This window comes from Homo sapiens, chromosome 2 (genome assembly GCF_000001405.40).
Source record: "Homo sapiens chromosome 2, GRCh38.p14 Primary Assembly".
Classification (NCBI taxonomy): Eukaryota; Metazoa; Chordata; class Mammalia; order Primates; family Hominidae; genus Homo; species Homo sapiens.
Genome location: NC_000002.12, coordinates 104,044,853 through 104,068,327, shown reverse-complemented (window position 1 = coordinate 104,068,327; position 23,475 = coordinate 104,044,853). Strand labels below are relative to the sequence as shown.

Genomic DNA, 23,475 nt, shown 5'->3' with positions numbered 1-23,475 from the left:
TTATTGGTTTGAGCAGCATCATAAAATCATGTGATATTGAAATATATATTCATGATTAACCAAGAGAAAGCAAACACAATAAGCGCAAACTCCATAGTAACACATGAAAATATTTTTTGTTCCCAGCTACTCGAGAGGCTGAGGCAGGAGAATGGCGTGAATCTGGGAGGCGGAGCTTGCAGTGAGCCAAGATTGGGCTACTGTACTCTAGCCTGGGCGACAGAGCGAGATTCTGTCTCAAAAAAAAAAAAAAGTAATAAGAAAATATTTTTTGTAGTGGTAGAGGAATTGGGAAGTTTGTTTTTTTGAGACAGGGTCTCATTCTGTTTCCCAGGCTAGAGTGTAGTGACATCATCACAGCTCACTGCAGCCTTGACCTCCCAAGATCAAGTGATCCTCCTGCCTCAGCTTCCCAAGTAGCTGGAACTACAGGCACATACCACCACAGCCCTCTAATTTTTGTATTTTTTTGTACAGACAGGGTCTTGCTATGTTGCTCAGTGATATGGTTAGGCTTTGTATCCCCACCCAAATATCATCTTGAATTGTAATCCCCAGAATCCCCTTGTGTCAAAGGAGAGACCAGGTGGAGGTAATTAAATTATAGGGGTGAGTTCCCCCATGCTGTTCTCGTGATAGTGAGTGAGTCTCGCAAAATCTGATGGTTTTGTAAGTAGCTCTTCCCCCTTTGCTCAGCACTTCTCTGTCCTGCAGCCTTGTGAGGAAAGTGCCTTGTTTCCTCCGTGATTGTAAGTATCCTGAAGCCTCCCCAGCCATGCTGAACTTTGGGTCAATTAAACCTCTTTCTTTTATAAATTATTCAGTCTTTAGCAGTTCTTTACCACAGTATGAAATGGACTAACACAACCAGCCTGGTCTCAAACTCCTAAGCTCAAGTGATCCTCCTGTTTGAGCTCCCCAAAGTGTTGAGATTACAGGTGTGAGCCACTGCACATGGACTAAGGGAAAATAAATTTTAATAAGCAGCTATATAGAGAGTTCTAGTTGCATGTGTGTATGTGTATTTCAATTTTGAGTAAATTTATAGAGTTGTGCAATCAACAGTCTAGTTTTAGAACATTGCAGTCCTTAATCTACTTTCTGTATTTATATTTTAGCCTTTATTGAGCTTTTCCTACAAATGGGATCATACAAAATATGGTCTTTTGCATCTGACTCTTTTGCATCTGACTCTGTTCACTTAGCATGACATTTTGAAGTTCATTCACAACCTAGCATCTACCAATAACTTGTCCGTTTTATTACTGAATGGTATTGAATTTTTATATGGCTACCTTTCATTTGGTCTGTTGAACAGTTGAGGAAAATATGTATTGCTTCCAGTTTGGGGCTGCTATGAAGAATGCTGCTATAAATATAAACATTCCTATGCAAGCCTTTGTGTGGGTGTTTGTTTCCTTTCCTCTTATATTCCTCAGAATGAAATTGGTGGGTTATTTGATAAGTTTATGTTAACTTTTTAAATAACTGCCAAACTTTTTCAAAGTGGCAGTACATTTTCCCCAGCAACTTATGAGGGTTCTTAGTTTTCCATATCTTGGTCAACAGTTGGTATTGTCTTTTTCCAAAAGAGAAAAAAGGAAAAGAGAAGAGAAGAAGAAAAGAAAAAAAAAAGAAAAGAAAAGAAAAGAGAAAAGAAAAGATAAGATAAAAGAAAAGAAAAGAAAAACCCTTCTGGTGGGTGTGAAGTAGCATCTCATTGTTGTTTTAATTTTCATTTTCTTTCTTTTTTTTTGGAGACAGAGTTTCACTCTGTCGCCCAGGCTGGAGTGCAGTGGCACGATCTCGGCTCACTGCAAGCTCTGCCTCCCAGGTTCATGCCATTCTCCTGCCTCAGCCTCCCGAGTAGCTGGGACTAAAGGTGCCTGTCACCACGCCTGGCTAATTTTTTGTACTTTTAGTAGGGACAGGGTTTCACTGTGTTAGCCAGGAAATTTTCATTTTCGTAATTACTAATAATGTTTGCACCTTTTCATGTGATTATTAGCCATTCATATATCTTCTTTGGTGAAATGTCTATCCAAATATTTTACCCATTTTTAAATTGGGTTGTTCGATTGTTTTTTTATTATTGAATTGTAACAGTTCTAGATAAAGTCTCGTAACTAGTCATTTATCCTATATATGATTTGCAAGTATTTTCTTCCACTTTATGTCTTGTCTTTTAACTTTTTCATGATATCTTTCAAAGCTTAAAATTGTTAATTAGGATGAATTTCAATTTATCTTTTTTTGTTGTTATGAGTTGCACTTTTGGTGTCTCCTTAAAGTTAACAAATATTTTCTCATATATTTTCTTGTGGATGTTTTATGAGTTTGACTTTTATATGAGGTCTCTGAGACATTTTTGAGTTGTTGTACGATGGGACATACAGGTCTACATCAGTCTTTTGACATGTGGACATTCAGTTGTCCCTGTATTGTTTATATGAAAGGCTATTTTTTTCCTCACTGAATTGCCTTGACACCTTTTTTCAAATTATTTGACCACAAATGTGTTTATTTCAGGATTCTCAATTCTGTACCACTGATCTATATGTTTATCCTCACACTGGCAGCATTCTATCTTGCTTAGTGTGGACTTATAGTAATTTTGAATTATAGAAGTCTAAGTCCTTCAACTTTATTCTTTTTCAAAGTTATTCTGGCTGTTCTAGGTGTTTTGTAATTTTTTATAAATTTTAGAATCAGCTTGTCCATTTTTGCAAACAACAACAACAAAAACCCCAACCTACTGAGATTTTGATAGGGTGTGTGTTAAATTTATAAATCAATTTAGGGGAGAATTGACATCATAAAAGGATTAATTTTTCAATTCAAACATATGGAAGGTCTCTCCATTTAGTTAAATCTTCTTTGGATATGTCATAGCAATGTTTTGTAGTTGTCATGTTATACATTTTGCACTTTTTGTTAAATTTATTCCTAAGCATTTCATTCTTTTTTGATAATTTTGTGAATATAATTAATTTCATTTTTGGATTGTTACTTGTATTTGAAAATACAATTACCTTTGTATATAGATCTTATATAGGTAAACATGCTGACCTCTTCGATTTGGTTTAGTAGTTTTATTGTGGCTTCCTTAAGACTTTCTATGTATATGAGGACATCATCTGTGAATAAAGACAATTGTACTTCATACTTTCAAATGTGCATGTTTTTAATTTCTATTATTATTATTTGCCATTATATACTGGCTACAAGCTCAATTAAAATGTTAAGTAGGAGAGGTGAGAACAGAAATCCTTGCTTTTTTTTCCCATCTTTCAGGGGATGCATTCAATCTTTCAGCATTAAGTATAAGGCTAGCTGTAGGTTTTATGCAGCTGCCTTTTAGCAAGTTGAGGACATTTCCTTTCATTAGTCTGTTGAGCATTTTTAATCATGGATGTGTGTTGGATTTTGTCAAATCCTTTTTCTGCATTTATTTTGATGATCATGGGCTGAATCATTATTTCCAAATGTTAAAATAACTAAATATCAAATGCTTAATAAAAATTGCTTTTTCTCTAATATCTAGAGCCATTTGTATGCACTTAAAATCACTGCATACAGGTGACTACTTTTTTTTTTAACCAGTTGTTAAGGCTGCTTCTGGCTCAGTGAAATGCTGGATTATAATTATTAATGCTAGGAGAATTTTGAACACTGTCAGAAAACAGGCTCCTTTTGTGATTTAGTAATATATTGGTGAGGAGTAGAAAGGGAGTTTCTTTTTTTAGTTTTTTTTAATTGTGGTAAAATATACATAACATAAAACATCTGTAAGTGATTTTTAAATGTACACCTCAGTGACATTCATAATGTCGTGCAGTTACCACCACTATCCATTTCCAGAACATTTTTATCATCTAAAACAGAAGCTTGGTACCCACTAAATATCACCCCCACTTTACTCCCTACCCCCAGACCCTGGTAACCTCTATTCTATTTTCTGCTTTTATTAAATTGCCTTTTCTAGGTACCTCATATAAGTGAAATCATACTACATTTTTCCTTTGTGTCTACTTTCTTTCACTTAGCATCATGCATTCATGGTTTATCCACGGTGTAGTATGTCTCAGAGGAATTTCATTTATTTTTAAGACTGAATAATATTCCATTGTATGTTTATAGCATATTTCTTATATCCACTCATCTGTTGATGATTGACAGACATTTGGGTTGTTTCCACATTTCAGCTATTTTGAATAATGCTGCTATGAACATCAGTGTATAATTTTCTCTTTGAGTCCTTGCTTTCAGTCCTTTCGAGTGTCTACCTAGAAGTGGAATTGCTGGATCGTATGGTACTTCTAGGTTTCACTTTTTGAGGAATTGCCATGCTATTTTCCACAAAGACTGCACTATTTCACATTACTACCAGCGTTGCACAAGGGATGCAATTTCTCTCTAACATTTTCCTAACACTTTTGTTTTCTTTCAATAAGAGGCACTGTAATGCGTGTGAAGTTGTACCTCATTGTGTTTATGATTTGCCTTTTGCTAATGATGAGTGATGCTGAGCATTTTTTCAACTGCGTGTTGCCCATTTGTGTATCTTCCTTGGAGACATGTTTATTCAAGTCCTTTAACCATTGTTTGTTTTTCTTGTTAAGTTTTAGAAGTTATTTATGCATTCTGGATATTAATCACTTATCAGGTATATGACTTACAAATATTTTCACTTGATAGCATCCTTTGATGTACAACATTTTACATTTTGATGAAGTCCAATTTACTTACTATTTCTTTTATTGCCTCTGCTTTTGATATCATATGCAAGCAATCTCTGCCAAATCCAATGTCATACAAGCTATTTTTTGTAAGAGTTTTGGAATTTTACCTTCTAAGTTTAGGTCTTTGATCCATTTTGAGTAAGTTTTTGTAAGTGGCATGTGGTACAAGTTTTACATGATTCTTTTGCCTGTGAATATCCAGTTTTCTTAAGTTCACTTTGTTGAAAGGAATGTCCTTTCCTTCATTAAATGGTCTTGGCACCCTTGCTAAAAATCAATTGACTTTATATGTAAAGGTTTATTCGGAGGCTCTATATCTATTGCATTGGCCTATATGTCTGTCCTTAAGCCAGCACCACACTGTTAGGTCTTTGCAGTGCCTTTTGAAATTGGGAAGTGTAATTCCTCCATCTTTGTTCTTATTTTTCAAGATGACTTTGGCTCTTGAAGGTGCTTGAGATTTCATATAAACATTAGGATGAATTTTTCTATTCCTGCAAAAAGAAAATCCTTGGTATTTTTGATAGCTATTGCATTGAATCTGTAAATTGCTTTGGGTAGTGAGGTCATCTTGGTAAGATTATGTATTCTAATCCATGAACAAGATGTCTTTTCATTTATCTAATCTTTTGGCAATGTTTTGTAGTTTTCAGTGTATGAGTCTTTTATCTACTTGTTTAGGTTTATACCTGTCTATTTTCTTTTTGATACTCTTATAAATATAATTTATTTCTTAATTTCCTTTTTACACTGTTCATTGTTAGTGCGTAAAAAATGCAACTAATATTTGCATGTTGAACATCTGTCTATTATTTGCACACAAAACCACTTTTAATGGGTACAAAGTTAAATTAGGAGGAATAAGTTCAGATGTCCTATTGCACAGTAGGGTGACTATAGTTAATAATGTATTGAATGTTCTTGCTACAAATAAATGATAAATGTTTGAGTTGATGGGTGTGCTAATTACACTGATTTGACTGATACACATTTTACATGAAACAGTACATACACCATAAATATTTACAATAATGTATCAGTTTAACATTTTAAAAAACATTTGTAATGTAAAAAGTGTCTCTTAAACTGGGTAGGTTAACTTCTTGATTTATATTTAAATATGAATCTTAAGCAAAATAGTGAAAATAACCATTTTGATTTAGTGTTTTTTTCCTGTGTGTGAATTGTATATACTTAGGTGAGGACAACAAAATCAACTGAACTGTAAGCTTAGAATAGGACTGAGGGATAATTTTGCACAGCAGTTTTACTAATGGTACATTGTTACATTGTTGCTTCAAAACTCTCTCTCTCTTTCTGTCTGTCTCTCTCTCCCAATAAATGGCCAAAGGGATTAGTACTTTACCTTTGGATGTCCTCAAAGTATTATTTGGAGTTGAAAATACTTCAGCTAGAACTAAGTAGAATTTGTTTTTTTCCTTTGGAAGTCCTCAAAGCGTGATTTGGAGTTGATAATACTTCAGCTAGAACCAAGTAGAATCTGTTTGTTTTTTTCCTTTGGAGGTCCTCAAAGCATTATTTGGAGTTCATAATACTTCAGCTAGAACCAAGTAGAATCTGTTTTTTTCTGAGGCGTATCGGTAGCATAAATGAGATTATAAACAAAGTACACTTAAGTTATATGAATGCAATGACTGCTATTTATACAAAATTTAAATCTGCAAAAGGAATCAACATGCTTATGGGTTATTAAAATTGTCTAAATTCTTAGGTTCTGTATAGCACATGTGTTGATTTACAAATAAATGATTTATTAAGTGATTAAGAAAAAAATGCAACTAATATTTGCATGTTGATTTCCTATCCTGCAACTTTGCTGTATTTGTTTATTAAATTCCAACAGTTTTTCTGAAATCTTTATGCTTATCTACATTTAAGATTATGTCATTTGTGAACAGAGATCATTTTCATTCTTCCCTTCCAATTTAGATGCATTTTCTTTCTTTCCCTTGCCTATTGCTCTGATTAGGACTTCCAGTAGGTGGGAATTGAACAATGAGAACACTTGGACACAGGATGGGGAACATCACACACCAGGGCCTGTCATGGGTGGGGGGAGGGGGGAGGGACAGCATTAGGAGATATACCTAATGTAAATGACGAGTTAATGGGTGCAGCACACCAACATAGCACATGGATACATATGTAACAAACCTGCACGTTGTGCACATGTACCCTACAACTTAAAGTACAACAAAAAAATTATACACATAAAATATATTAAAAGAAAAAACTTCCAGTAATACGTTGAATAGAAGAGACCAAAGCAGGCATCATTGCTTATTTCTGAGTTTAGAGAAAAAGTTGATTATTTTTAAATATTGGATGTTATCTGTAAGCTTTTCATATAAATTTGTTGATGAATTTATCTTTTATCCTTAGTTTATTGGGTGCTTTTTATCAAGAAAGAATGTTGATTTTCGTTAGCTGTTCTCTCTCCTTTTTTTGTACCAATTGTCATTATTGACTGTTTTCCCTCACTTCATTCTATTAATTTTTTCTAGCTTCTTAATATTTAAAATATTGCTAATGATTTAATACATTTTTCTTTTTAAATGTATGCATTTACAGATATAAATTTCCCCCTTATCACTGCTTTTGCTGCATCTCATGAGGTTCCACATGTGTTTTTATTGGTCTCAAAATATTTTCTAATTTTTCTTGTCCTGCTTTAATGAATTGGTTGTTTAAAGGTGTTTTGCTTAATTTCCACGTATTTTTGAGTTTTCTAGTTTTCTCTTTTTATTAATTTCTAGCTTTATTCCATTGTTACCACACAAGGTACTTGGTGTAATTTCAATCTTTTTAAAATTTTAAGACTTAGTTGTGTTCTAGCTTCATTCCATTGTAATCAGACAAGGTACTTTGTATGATTTTAATCTTTTTAAAATTTTAAGTCTTGGTTGTGTCCAAACTATACTGGACAATGTTCCATGTGCCTTTGAGAAAAATGTGTATTCTGCTGTTATAGGATGGAATGATCTGTGTGTGTCTCTTAGATCCAATTGGTCTACAGTGTTGTTTAAAGTCCTCTAAATCCTTATTGATCTTCTGTTTTATTGCTCTACCCAATATTGAAGTTGGGAGTATTGAAGTCTCTAACTATTATTGTATAAGTGTCTATTTCTCTCTTCAAATCTGTCATTGTTCTATCATATATATTGGGGCTCTGATATTTTATGCATATGTGTTTATAATAGTTAAATGCTCTTGGTGAATTGAATTGTTATTAACATATAATGCCTTTCTTTGCCTTTTGTAACAGTTTTTGAGTTAAAGTCTATTTTGACTAATATTAATATAATATCTAGTTTGCCTTTAGTTACTACTTGCCTGGAATATCTTTTTGTATTCTTTACCTTCAAATTGTGTTTGAAATATAAAGTGAGTCTCTTAAAAATAGCATAGAGTTGAATCATGTTTTTTTTCTGTTCTGCCTCTATGACTTTTGATTGGAGAGCTTAATCCATTTACATTAAAAATACATATTGATATGAAGGAAATTCTGCCATTTGCTATTTGCTTTCTATACATCTCATAGCTTCTTTGTCTCTCATTTTCTCCATTAGAGTTTTTATGTGCGTTTATTGGATTTTTGTAGTGACATGTCTGATTCCCCTATGCTTTCCTATTGTTTACATTCCATAGATGTTTTCTTTGTGATTATCATGGGGATTGCATATAATATCTTAAGGTTATAAGTAATTTGAATTAATTATAACTTGACCTCAATTGCATAATATACTCTTATAAAGTTACATCCTCATGTTATTAATAATAAATATGTTACAATTTATCATAAGCATATCAAATTACATATTTATACATTGAGTGACTAATAATATAATACAGCTTTAAACTTCTTTTTATGCTTTTGTATTTTAAATTCTGTAGAAAATAAAAAGTGGACTTATAGACTAAAATTACGGTACTGTGGCTTATATCTGCCCATTTATTTATCTTTACAGGAGAACATTGTATTTTCATATGGCTTCAAGTTACTGCATATTGTCTTTTTATTTCATTGTAAAGGATTCCCTTTAGAATTTCTTACAGAGCAGTTCTAGTGGTAGTGAATTCCCTTAGCTTTTGTTTATCTGAAAATACAGATAAACAAGAAAATTATTATTTTTTATCTGGGAACACAGATGAACAGTAAATAAATTACACTATTTGCAACTTCTCCCTTGTTTTTAAAGAACAACTTTGCCAAATATAAAAATCTTCATTGATCGGTTTTTTTTTCAGCCCTATTTTATTTTATTTTATTTTATTTTATTTTATTTTATTTTATTTTATTTTTGAGATGGAGTCTCACTCTGTTGCCCAGGCTGGAGTGCAGTGGTATGATCTCAGCTCACTGCAACCTCTGCCTCCCAGATTCAAGTGATTCTCCTGCCTCAGCCTCCCAAGTAGCTGGGACTACAGGTGCATGCCACTGCACCCGACTAATTTTTCTATCTTTAGTAGAGACAGAGTTTTGCCATGGTTGCCAGGCTGGTCTCAAACTCCTGACTCAAGTGATTCACCCATCTCAGACTCCCAAAGTGCAGGGATTACAGGCATGAGTCACCGTGCCTGGCTTTTTTCAGCACTTTAAATATATTATTTCTCTGCCTTCTTGCCTCCAGGCTTCTGATGAGAAATTGGCTGATACTTGTATTGAACATCCCTTTTATTTTGTTGAATTGCCTTGCTGTTATTGCTTTTAAGATTCTGTCATTGTTTGGCTTTCAACAATTTGATTATAATGTGCTTTGGTGTAGATGTTTTTGGGTTTATCCAATTTGGTATTGCTGGGCTTATTTTATCTGTATATTCATGTCTTTCTTCATATTTGGAAGGTATTTGGCTATTATTTATCTTACCACTCTTTTTTACCTCTCTCTTCTCCTTGATCTGCTTGATGGTGTCCCTCAGTTTCCTTAGGTTCTATTCACTTTTATTCATTCCTTTTTCTCTTCTGCTCCTCAGACTCAATAATTTCAATTTTCCTATCTTCGAGTTCACTAATCTGCAAATCCGTTGTTGATCTCTGCAAGTAATTTTAAAAACTTCAGTTGCTGTACTTTTCAGCTCCAGAATTTTTGTGTGGTTCTTTTATATAATTTCTTTGTTTGATGATATTCTCCTTTAGATAAAATATTATGTTCCAAATTTCCTTTACTTCTTTGTCGAAACTCACTCTTATCTAGTTGAGCAAATGTCAAGTCACTTTAGTATCTGGGCTTTCTCAGGGACAGTTTATGCCAATTAATCACTTTATTCCTTTGAATGAGCCATTTTCCTGTTTCTTTATGTGTCTTGTGAATTTTGTTGTTTTCGTTGTTGTTGAAGATTGGCATTTGATTTTTATAATGTGGTGACTTTGGAAATCAGATTCTCTTCGTTCCTTAGGTTCTCTATGTTGGTGTTTCTGTTTTGATTATTAAAGTCTGCTGTGTTCTATTTGTCTTGAGACAAAGTATTTTTGCAAAGATTATTCCTTGGTGTGTGTATTCACTATTTTGATACCTTAGCTTGCACTCAGCTAATACTTTGACAAATATTTTCTTGAATTTCAGGATCTGAAACAGACAAAAACAAACAAAACCCCAAGCAAGCAAACAAACAAATGGACAGTCACCTTTCTCAGATTTTATAGACTGCCTCTGTGCTAATGTACTTCTTCATGATTTTCTAGGCCTTCCATGAGTCTGGGATTCAGCCAGGGTGAAAGATTAATGGTTTTTAAGGAATTTTGAGCATGTGTCTTTCTGGGGCATGCTAGTAATGTTCTAAATCCCCTTGTATACAGAATTCTTTTTGAATGCCCTAATTTCCCAAAGAGTCTCAATATGTTTCCCCTCTGGGCCTTAGCTGGTATATTGTATGTCTCCACCTAGGATCTCTAGTTCCAGATGTCTGTGGGATTTTTGTCCTCTTGTGGTTTTTATGAGACTTTCCTGTTGCTTTTCCTACCTGTACTCTGAACTATACAAGACAGAGATGAGCAAGTCAGTTCTTCAAGTGCTTCTCTAGTCCAGTTAGGATGAACATACACAATAATTTTCAAGTAAAGTCTGCTCTGCTTCCTCCACTTTGAAGTGGGGAATTGGTAACTAATCTGTCACTGCTGAAAAGCACGCCATCATCTACTATGAAGGGTCTTGGGGATGCAGAATAAAACCATCACTAAACATTTTTACCGTTTTGAAGATGGCTTTTTCTTGATTGAGTATGTACTTAGTTGCTGTAAAACTTTGATCATTTTCCAGAGCTTCTACAAAGTTGGTTCACACTGTTTATGTTTTATTTTACTTTATTTTTTGTGTTTATGTTTGAGGAATAAGAGCTTGGAACTTCTTAGTCTGCCATTTTGCTGACACCACACCACAAGGGTTCCTATTTTTGACAAGTCTAGAAACACTTTACTTATTCCTTTTTTATTTTCAAAGACCTCTAGGAAAGTGTCAATGTTTCCACAGTCAAGTTTAACATTTCATGATCATTTCTTTTTTCTGTCATTACTTGTTGTTCTCAGTTATTACCTAATGCTATTTATACATTGTCATTTACTAAACTTCAACAATTATATAGAAATAATGAATTAATTAATTCATCTTTCTATAAACACAAATATAATGGGGCATTTCATAAAAATAAATATGTATTTTTTTTATTACTTGAGTTCAGGTAGTATAAAATTGGAATTATTTGTGGTTTTGCTATGGTTTGAATGTATCCCCCAAAGTTCATATGTTGGAAACTTAATTTGCAATGCAATAGTGTTGAGAGGTAGGCCTTTTGAGAGGTGATTTCATGAGGCCAGAGCCCTCATGAATGGGTTAATGCTATTATTACAGGTTAGGTTAGTTATTGCAGGAATGTGTTCCTGAGTTCAGCTCCCTTCTCCTCTTTCTCACATGTGCTCTCTTGCCCCTCCCGCTTCTGCCATGAGATCATGCAGCAAGAAGTCACTCATCAAATGCAATCCCCTTGACTTTGGACTTCTCCACCTCCAGAACTGTAAGAAATAAATCTCTGCTTTCTTTACAAATTACCTAGTCTCTGGTATTCTATTATAGCAGCAGAAAATTGACTAAGACATGGTTCTTTCAGAATTCTACTTTCTTCCCCATAACCTGCTATTCTGTTAATGTGATTTTCATTCCAAATTTTCACTAATTACTTTAAACACAATTATTTTGCATTCATTTTTAGGTTATTGTATCGATTTGGGTATGTGAGAATAACAGTTCTCCTATTTGTTGTATCTGCTGGTTCTCTCCATGCTGGCACATTTCCTTATGTGGTGGTTCCTTGAAATCATTGAGCTCATTTTTAGCAGCATTATTTTTTTCTGTAGCTTTACTAGATGCCCTGTATTATGGATTTATTCTATAGATGGTTTTGTCTTTTCTTCTGCTAGAGCTTTTGGGATATGTATCTTGAGATTCCCAAATTTTAAAAATCTCAAATCAGGACTGTAAGGTAACAAATTTGTGTTGTCTACAGTAAGAAAAATAAATAAATAAATTCTAGCTTCAACACCTGAGTGTGGCACAGATTTAATGTTTCTATTTCTCATAGAAAATTTTTCTACACCAGAGCTTTGAAAACATGAAATCTTATTTTCTTCTACTATGGTTTGGTGCAGTGGATATTTTATTTGCCCTTTTTATGAAGTGGGCATGACTTTTAGAAACCTGCTTTTATGCAGGTAATCTCACTTGTAACACTATACTTTTTTTTTTAACTATAAGAAGCTTCCACTTTTTCTCTTTTTTTCTTTTCATTTCTCATGTTTCAATATCTGTTTTGAACAATAGAAAGGCATTTCTCTTGAGAAGTTCATTTTATTTTATTGACTAATTAATTACGTTTTACAAAAGCACAAAATGTGTATATGCTCCAGACATAGTTGAATAATACCAACATAGAACCGTCAATATTCACTTTGTGAGATTTCAGAGACTTTATTCAATGTCAATGCATAAATATAATTTATTTTAAAGATGCATCAGATAAATTTATTATTTAAAATAATATATTTCCCTCCAGACAGATATATTTTAGCTAAATACACAAAGAATGATAATATTTAATATTGTTACTTTGTAACTTCCTTTACTGGCCATACATACATATACATGGGAATGTTTAATAAAGGTTAAGAGGAAAATACTTCTTCATTGAGATTCCTAAACTATTTATCCGTTATTGTCACTTAAAGAGGTAACAATATGCCTCCTAAAATTTCAAACTCTTTTCCATGTGTGAAACTATTTGTGAATTTCATTACAATATTTTTCTACTTATTGTCTTGGGATAACATTTAATATTTATTTTAACCATGTGTGGATGTGTATATATGTGTGTGCTTGTGTGTGTGCATGTGTGTGTGTATGCCTGTCTCTCCCTCTCTGTATCTGTCTCCCTCACTTTATAGATGTAGAGCATAAATGATAAATATTGAACATAAAATTGAAACCTCAATGTCCTACATTAAAGATTTCTCCTTACATGAGGACAGTCAGGTGTTCTTTTTAGCCAATATCATTGTCATAAAGTTAAAGGATGATGGAGAGGTACAGAAGCAGAAGTTTCAGGGGATAGTATCTAAATATATAGGAATTCATCTCATAGAACTTCCAAGTTCTATTAGAATGCTACTTTAATTTCTCCACTTAGTGATTATACCTCTGCATAGCTCAGTGGTAGAAAAGAGTATAATTATACCTGTATAATTTCTGCCTTACTAAATTTAATTAAAATCTCTATTTTGTTGATATTTATGATTACTAAACCCCTAATTGAATGTTGTAGAAAATAACTACAGTTGCTGAGTTTGTGGTTGTTAAGAAGCAGATAACATCAACTAGCTGGATTAAATGACCCATAGTAGGTAATCAATAAGTGTGTGTGTGTGTGTGTGTGTGTGTGTGCCTGCCTGTGTGTGTGTCAAGATTCTTCTTATTCACATTCCCAGTGTAAATGGCTCTTGGGGTAATGGATTCTTTTATAAGTTGAAATTGCCAACACTGAATGGTTGTTAGCTAAAATTTATATACGACTTTTACGAGGAGAGACATTCTCTACTTCTTCTTTTGGTAAGGAGAAATGAATGTGGAGATATGGCAAGTACAGGAAAATGTTTCAGTTTAACTCCAGCGGCCAGAAGGATAGCAGTTTTATATGAACTTGATCTGTTCTAATTAATTTTTTTCTGATTTTGAGTTTTTGTCACACTTGCACATAGCATAGTCACATATTAACAACTTTTATCATAATCAAACTACATACACACACACATACATGCACTCCATTCAAAAGATTGGATGGCATTACAATATAGATTAGCACTTCAATGCTCCACATCACAATCTTTAAAACAGATAATGGTTTGGAACTCTAGCTATTTATTTTCTATTTTACTTCTACCCTGGCCCAAGGAATTTGACAGGCTTTAATTTTTTAATGTGGAAGCCCAGTAGTGAATTTCAGTGGCCATTACCAGAAATATCTCTTCCAATGTGAAAGTAGTGAGTCTCCTGACTACTCGTTGTGAATATACTTTGATGAACATGAGGTATCTTTCGTTTTATTATAGTTTATGGCATCTTTGGCTGAGTTTCAAGCAAAATTTTGCTATTATGCACCAATGGCCAGAAAAGGTTTTATTCTTTACTTTTAGAATAAATATGATTTCACACTGTGAACTTTTTTTTTTTTAATTTTATAGTCTGGACTTTAGAGACTGAGGCTACAGCCTGCGCTGTCCAATATGTGGGATCTAGATGTGTGGATAGTGAAATAGTTTTCTTTCCAAAGAATTCTTTAGATAAACTGTAGCTTTGTAGATTTGGTTCTAGCTGTGAACAATAGCCCAGGTAAGATAATTCAGCCAGTGTGAAAAGCTGAATCGGTCCCACTCTTCCCATTAGGCAATACATGAAACCCACCTGGGGATCTTGGGAAAGTCTGTTCAACACTCCCACTATGCTTCGTTTTGTTTTTCTCCTCCCACTGCCAAACCTCTGTGAACTCCAAAGGACATTCAATCTTTCCAGTTTTCCCACCTGTAATGAAATATACAAGTGTAAAAGCCCCATTAAGAATTTCAATACAATTGCTCTTCTACTCTTACGTTTCAACCTGTTGAGAATCCTGTTAAGCAACCTCGTCAGAGCTCACTCATCATTGAACCACAAATCTGGAAGCAGTTTTAATGCCATTCCATAGATATGCTATTGGATTTTGTCAAATATAAATTATCAAAAGAAACAAGGCACTAATGCGCGTTTGACAATGAATGTCCCTTGGGCTCATTTCAGGCCCACATCTTAATAAGAGAGCCCTTTGCAGCAATGTGTACGCGGCTGGTCTCAGTCCATCCTTTTCTTAACTGAGCAGTGCTTGAGCACTCTTCCGTGGACAATGACACACAGTTACTGGAGTTTAATTCTAACTTCATTGCGTTTTATATTTTTAAGCAAATTTGGGAATCAGAAATACAAACTGAGAGGCCAGGTTTATGTTCATACAGACTTTTTAAAAAATGTAAGGTATCCAGAATGGTTTTATAGGAATCATTAACTTTTTAAAAGCCACCAGTTTCCTTCTGTCATTAATGATATGCATAAGAGCTTAATGTAATGCTACTTTTAATTATCACAGCCCTTTCTTTTAAATATCAAATTTCCCTCTCTAAACTGTCCTGCCTTCTCTTTAGAGTCTCATCTGTCACTGTAAATGCCATCACTTTATTCCTCCTATAGATGCACTGACAGGCCCACTCTTATCCCAAGCTTTATCTCTTTTTCCATCCTTTATTGTACTACAAAGATCCCTTTTTCATAGTTTACAGCTGTATCCGCTTTCCACACGTGGCAAATGATTGCCTCGGTAAAGGTATTTTCTGTTTCAATCTTGCATTTTCCCAAGGGAGAACAAAAGGGACAAGCTTTCTGGAGTTGGTTTCACTGAGAAAATTGTTTAGAATTGCCTCATTCCTCAGCAGATTAACGAATGCATACAATCCCAGCTTAAGTGCTATTGTACTACACAATTTGTCCATTATACTTTGTCCTTTCCATTTAGAAAACCCCTCACCAATTAAAGTAATACAGCCTTCCAATACCTGCTCCCAATTAAATCTGAGCTGTATTACCTGCCCCGATGCAGCTGGTCACAGATTCTTACCACTTACCCACATTCATTAGGCTTGTTCATTATCAAGGGGATGGTGGCAGGAATTCAAGCCACTGCCTTCCTTTTAGGGCTCACCAAAATTATCAGCTTTCCACCCAAGGCCCCAATAAGGACAGGATTAAGTATAAGGAGAAGGAATTCATACAGTAGCAACTCTCATTGTTTCTTCTTTCCTCATATCCTTTCTACCTCAACACATCAAAAGGATACAGTGCAGGTACAAAAGAACACTCGTCTTAATGAAAGGATCACTTTTCTCTCGGTTTCGGGCCCAAAGCGTACCCCCCAGCTTTGTTCTTCTGTCTTAACTACCCTCCCCCTCCAAGCTCTTTCTGCAAGACCACAGTGAGAACCATAAAGAAAGGCTCTGAAAGTGACCAAGAAGCCCACTTACTGCGAGCTTTGTCATTGAAGAGCAAGGCTTTCCAGCTTCAGGCTGGACTGGATTTTGGGGAAGTGTTATTTTTCTATCCAAGGCTTAAGGCATCTCTAAGAAAGGAGGGGGTTGCGGAGGAATGGAAAGTATGGGGAACTGTGATTTAATTACTACTGGGCATGACTGTGTGAGTGGGTTCTCCCAGATAAATTTTAATCTAAATCCAATGAACAAAAATATACGACCGGCTTTCTTTACTTTCATTTTGAAGTGGGACATACACGCAGTTAATTCTTTGGTGATTCTGGTGGGTCTCTGTCGTGATTATTGATCAGAAAAGAAAAATAAAAAACAAAACAAAGTTGGCGGGGAGGCATTCCACAGAAGGGAAAAGGTCACAGACTAAAGAGGAGAGGTGTATTTATCGCACTAGAGAGAAAATTCAGGAGAGAAGAAAATACAAGTTAGCTGCCAGGGTCAGGAAATGCAAAATTCAGGTAAAAAGGACTATTGATAAAATTAAAAAGTCATGAATTTCTGAACAAGAAGTGCTGCTTCAGCCCTGAGGAGACCAAGCCTGAGAGCTTACCCAGGCACTGGTGGTTCTCGGGGGAAAAGAGAAGTTCAGTGGAGGCTCAAGTGTGCTTTTATAGGAGAGTACAGAGCAAATTCCACCTATCTTCTCTGGAGAGAAGACACTGAGATCCTGCACCAAAGTGTCCCTTTTAAGATATTTGATTATGAAATTAAATTAATATATATCCTCTTCCGAATTCCTGAATCATCAACTATCCTTTAGTCAGTAACATTTTTAAAGGAACTTCAGTGATCTCGTACCTCTACCGAGCAGGCACTGTGATGAAGAAATCCTGATCCTGGAGAAACTACCAGCATTCTCAAAGGCGCAGATATATGGTGGGTGGATAATCAGTGAAAATCCATTCTAAGCAACTTTACTATAAGTCTTTATTGTATACATACAAATCTTATCAATGAACAGCACCATATGCATATCTGTAGCTTTTTTTTTTCTTAAGGGGGGGAGGTTGTATATTAGTGTTTTCCTCTCAATTAACTTCTAGGCAATTTTCCCAGCTAAATGCATAACATCTTTGGCAAGATGCCAAACAAAACCTTAAGACCCAACACTAAATTCTGCACTTATACAGGCAGCTTAGATTTTCATGCGGTGAACTGGAAGCTTGCCAGCAACTCCCACTATAAACTCAGCAGTGGGAAAGCTATATAAATTTTTTTTATCAAGAAAATCTACTTTAGATTTCCAAGACCACTTGAAAATTGCACTATTTTAATGTGCCTTTTAGACAAAATAAAAGAAAGATTTAACCTGCTATTAAATTAACCCAATTAGCTATTTATTCCATGTAACCTTACACTTTGGATGATGTTAAATCAAATAAACTGGCAGGGAATGATTTTTTGTAGTGAATTATGGAAATTACAAGATGCATTCTAAACAATAAGTTCTTATGTCTTTTTCTTTATCCTTTTCACTCTGACAAGATTATCAGAATACTTACTTTAAAAAAAAAATTGCTTTTTTGTATAGGAAACGGAATTACCCAGGATATAATACAGCTGAAGGGCCTGGGGAGAAGTGGCTGGAAAATTAGAATGTAAAGGAATGCTCATCAAATAGAAATTTACACAACAGTCATTCCTTGGAAGGCTTGCCATCCATCCCTCAAACTTTGCTTTTTGGTGTGCTTTTACTTGTACATTCCATTCAACACATGTGTTCTTCCAATAATGTCGTACTTTTCAAAGCACTAACTGCTGTCGGGCTGCTTTGGTCCCCAGTCAAGCTTTGTTGATGTTAAATTTAGAACCAAACTCTAAGAATTTGAGTTCATGTCCACTGGGATCTACCAGTTGAGGTAAAAAACACTTTCGAGAACTTGTGTAGTGTCCGATAAATTCTTTTAACACTAAAAAGCTTTTGGAAAACAACATTTTGACGATTTAAGAGGCAGTGAACCAGAAACATATGGATTAAGTTTCCTCTGTAATACTCAGGGGCCTAAAAATTAAGAGGGAAACGCTTGGCCAAACGAATTTTGCCCAACCAAAAAAATTCACAAACCAGGCCAAGATACTTTGCCAAGCCTAAATTACTGATGAGCTCTCTTTCCGTAATATTAGCTATTATTATTACTACGTTTTATTTTTGTTTGATAATTCTGGAGTTTTAAAAACATCTGGAATGGTTTCGGAGAACAGCAGTTCACATCAAAGTGATTTTGCAATTTCAAAAACAAATCATAAATCATAACCTAAGAACATTGTGAATTTGTCTACATAAGTTCACGAGCCAGGATAGTTTGGCCAGGAAGCGGCCCACAGTTGTACCCATGGTAAGGGTGCTTAAGTTCAGCAGGTTAGGCCTTGAAAAGACAGGGAGACTCAGAGGATGTGGAGGAAGGAAAAGTTAGTACTTGTGTCATGGCCTCAGGCACCAGTTTCCACCAGACAGACATGAGACAGACAGAAGGCACCACTGGAGAGCTTCCTATAAAAATATGCAGAGAGATGACTCCTTAGGACACCTCAGTAAAACACAAGATATGGATCCCAAAAGAATTGTTAATGTTTTCCTTTTGATTTTCAAGAACTTCCAAGAACAGACATAGCAGCTACTTCTGCCTATTGGCCCTCTGTAAGTTTTAGCAACAGCACAGAACTCTCATCACACTAAATAACAAACATCACCAAAATAGCAGGACAGAATACAAGGGTGAAACGAACTATCTCAACCATCTTTTCCACTGACTTTTCCTATGTTTGTCATCTCTTCCCTCAAATTGTGGCCGGAAGAAAGCAGGTTCTGTGCTATGTATACGCAGAGCCTGCATTTGAAGAAACAGAAGGAGCCCAGACTAGGAAGCTAAGGACACAAGGTGCAAAATATAAATAAAAGAGAAAGAAAGAAAGAAATACAATGATAAAATGAAAGAAGAAACAAAAGAAACAAACCCCCAAAAATGAAACGAATGAAGGAAAGCAGAAAGAAAGCGGGGAAGAGAAGGGAGGAAGGAAAGAAGGGAAGGAAAGAGGAAGGAAGGAAGGAAGGGAAAGTAAAAGGAAGGAAGGAGGGAAGGTAGACAGACTCTCAGCACACATATAATATTAAGGGAAAGGAGATTATAGCCAATTTGATGAACACTTGCTATAGATTTTGTTGCATATATAATTTATATTCCTTTGGTTTATTTCAGGATTTAATTACCCTTTTTTTCCAGCAAGTCGATTGTGATTGCATGTGGTATTACGGTGGTAGAGGTGGTGGTAATTGTGGTAATGGGATAGATCAGCATTGAGAAACTTTAAAACTGTCTCTAGGATAGAAGTAAGAGTTTGATGTAAACAAACAAACAAAAATCCTTTTTAAATATTTTGGAAGAGCGATAAAAGTCATTTGACATTTAAAGACACTGCAGCAGCAGTTAGTGGACTATGGAGAACTGATATTTATGAAAAAAATGTATCCATACTGCTGAAACGTCACATAATCCCTGCAAAACTCTGAACAAAGTTATAAAATTAACTGCTCTATATGGTCTATTTTACGTAAAAGGCCATTGTGTCCACAGAATGCAATGGCTGTGCCAAAAGAAATATTCTTACACTACTGAAAGTATGTTAAATTAATTTTTTTGAAACTCCTAGGAAAGTCCAAGATAGGTGATTTTATTGGTGGAGGTATTTCTTAAATATGTATTAATGAGTCAACAGGCATTTGGGAAATAGCTTAACATATCATTTTTTTTTCTGTCTTCTAACTAGAAAAATATTTTTTTTCTCCCATAAGGGCAGTCTAGAAGATTGGGCATGATTCATACTGCATCTTATTACACCCCTGAATTTGTGTCTATTTATGAAAAAATTAGCATAATTTGACTTAAAACTTCTATTACTTTGTAAAAGAGTTATTTCACATATTTCTCACCACAAGCAGCAGCAGGCTCTTAGGAAGAATTTTCTGCTGTGAAGGAGTGTTCTATGCTTATATTTATACATAACTACATTCTAACTCGTACAATCCAAAATTGCAGGGAGATAGGCTAGAAAAAGAATCTGCATTCACTCAAGATTCTTTGTAAAAAATTTCAAAATATCATTGTATTAAAATATTTGAAAAGGTACTCTGTTTTACATGCACTTGCTTTGATTTAGAATGCATTTTTGAAAACCCACCTCAAGCTTCTCTGGGCACTCTAGCAGGGCCTGCTTGCCTGCTGACAGACGGGCCGTCCTTAGGAACCCAATGTGCCAATTTGCACCTAGCACGGCGTGTGCATTAAAGTTACACGTGGCAGAGCTCTGCAGTATGCACGTCTTTGTTCGGCATGTGAATTGTTAGAAATCGGGGATTATCTTTATTAGGATAAAGGCTGATGCCGTACAAGACCCAAACAAATAAAAACATAAATAAAACCCGGAAGCTTTTCAAGTCTAGATTTAGTGTCAGAATCCCAGGTAGGGAGGCAATGTCAGAAAGCCTAATTCAGGATTTCTGATAAAGGTAAATGAAAGGTGACAGGTAGTTCCAAAATCCAGCCACAATCAGCAACTAGAGAGGAGGAGTTACCTAAACTTGAATCAGAATCCAAAATCAGGGTCAAGAGGCACAAGAAGGAGTAAGCCAGGAAGTCCACACCAGCTGGGACTTGGGGACAGTAGACAGCTGATGATGGGCCCAGGGTTTCTTGGTGTTTTTAGAGAGAGTGAGTGAAAATGAAGTGAGGGCTCCGGATAAAAGGCAGCCTGGAAACCAGGGGTGGGGGTGGGGTCAGCAGGTTACGGCCCCCTCATCAGTCAAGGTACACACCTGGCGTCCAGGCCTGGCAGGCTTCTGCTGAAGAGGGAGTGACTTCCCACGCTGACAGGAGTAGCAAATTATATAGATCTAGAGATAGAGACCTATTTATGCAGGTTGTTTATTCAGAAACTAGTCATTATTAAAAGGCTACTAACTACAGGAAAAATATCACTCCCCTGGGGTCAGTTTATTTCTGTCCAACTCTGATTTCTGAAAAATGAAGATTTCTTTGAACTGGAAAGACAAGATATTGTAAAATATGCATCATTTCAAGACCTCGTTCTTCTGTCTTTGCACTGATCTTTCTGCTGTTTTTATTGATTCATGGATCAGTGTCCAAACATAATTTTACCTTTTTCAACAGAGTTCAAAGCAGGGGAGATGCTATCTCATCAGTTTTCATAATTTCCATATGATTCACCAGCTGGCTCTCCCCTGTGTCTGGGGCTTCGTTTCCCACTATACCTCTCCACTTACCACATACACCAGCCACACCTGTAACTCCTTCTGAAAGCCACAGGGTATTTCTCTGTTTCTCCACCTGCTCATGCTATTCTCTCAGCCTAGACAGTTTTCTCTCTCTTCATTTATGCAGTCAACATTTATGGAACCCCAGCTATGTGTTTAATCTGTGCTTGGAAGTGATGAAATGACGCAGTAACCTCTGGAGCTTCCTGTTACTAAAGGCACCAAACTTGTCCACCAAGACTCAGCTCTACCTTCCTATAAAAAACCCACTCTTCTTCCCAATTTTGAATTTATCACACCTTTTTATGTGTCACCATAGGGATATATATATATATAGATAGATAGATAGATAGATAGATAGATAGATCTCACCAGAGTTTGATTGTATATTTTAATTAATTGTATTTTATATGTTAATTAATTATATGTATGTCTCCCCAGTAGAAGGATAAGCTATATGCTCATTATGTATTCTTCAGTACTATCTTGGCACAGATACAATATTTTATGCATTGATATTATTAATTTGTTCTTTGGTTAAATGAAAGGTTATGGACTGAGGGATGGATGGATGGATGGATGCATGGATGGATGGATGGATGGACTGACTAATGAATGGATGGATGAATGAATGACTATTTGGATATGTGCAGTTGAATATTAAGCCCTTTTTTGTTTCTTGAATCCACAGTACATTGCCCATGACTGTTCAAGACAATAATTCTGCATTGCCTTCCTGCCTCAACCTGGAATCAATGACTTTTTAATCTAAACTGTATTTCCCTTTCAATTAACAAATAGGATAATTTTGTTTTGTCATAGAACTACTCACTGTAAACACAATTGTCTGTGTGCATAATAGTTTTCTGTTACTACACTAAACTTTTATATGCAGTAATGATGTATATTTGTCAATTCAACAATAGAGTATTAGTTTAATATTCAAAAAACATATAAGTGCCATAAGAGGGTCTGCATTTTAGTATGACATATTTTTATGTCTAAAAGAAAAGTATTTATATGGAAAAAATTAAGCATTTACGTGGAAGAACAGATGATTATTAATTTATATTTGTAAAAAAAGTTTCTAATTTACTTTCATTATATAAAATTATTCAATCTGAATTATCAATTTATGTATCAACTTTCTTACAGAGATATTTTCAAAATGAGTACATACTATCTTTATACATTTAAAATTCATACATAGTTGATATTCATATTTTAGTAGATTCTATGTAGAAAATGAAAGTTTGCTCTATCATGTTTTGACAATTTAAAAAATTCATTTCTCCATCCAAAAAATCCTTGATACAGTAGACTGATTCTGGCACAGGTATCGTAATTCAGAAATGTGTAAAAAAATGCTCAGAGAAAGGCATATCTAATATCGCGGTCCTAACACATTTGATATAGATATAGTATCGCCGAGCTCATTATAGCAGACCCTATACTATAATTATATTACACACATTTTAAATTATCATTATAATTTAAGTCTGCAATTTTGTTTGGGGCTTAGATTTTCCATATTTGTTCTCACATGTGAATCATTTAAATTGTTGAAGTAGAATCTGTTTAGCTGTTTTGAATTATATGAATGAAAGAAAAAATACTTTCTCTTCAAAGCAAATTAAGATATTTGGGGACTCAAGTGAGACTGTCTGAATTTATAAGCTTTAAAATTTTGGAGTAAATATGAATTTAAAAATATTTTCTAATTTCCCTTGAACACAACTTAAAAATACAAATAAATTAAATATTTGACATAAATCTGATGAAATTATCAGTTTATTCAGTGATCTTAATTTTACTGTACCAGGAATATTGAAGAT

The 23,475-nt window shown here is 34.8% G+C and overlaps 1 long non-coding RNA gene across 3 annotated transcripts in view, besides 1 other annotated feature; it reads right to left on the bottom strand.

Annotated features, from left to right (window-relative positions):
- Positions 1 to 23,475, bottom strand: part of LINC01965 (long intergenic non-protein coding RNA 1965) — a 205,982-nt gene that overhangs the window by 11,943 nt on the left and 170,564 nt on the right. For all 3 annotated transcript variants that reach the window (XR_001739621.2, XR_001739622.2, XR_007088674.1), the window contains exon 2: positions 14,708 to 14,824. This is a non-coding gene — a long non-coding RNA (long intergenic non-protein coding RNA 1965). The remainder of the gene's footprint in view (positions 1 to 14,707; positions 14,825 to 23,475) is intronic.
- Positions 14,138 to 16,914: an enhancer, noted in NCBI's record as "VISTA enhancer hs1303". NCBI's record gives its function as "enhancer in: forebrain[7/7]" and the evidence as "EXISTENCE:transgenic organism evidence [ECO:0001131][PMID:17130149]".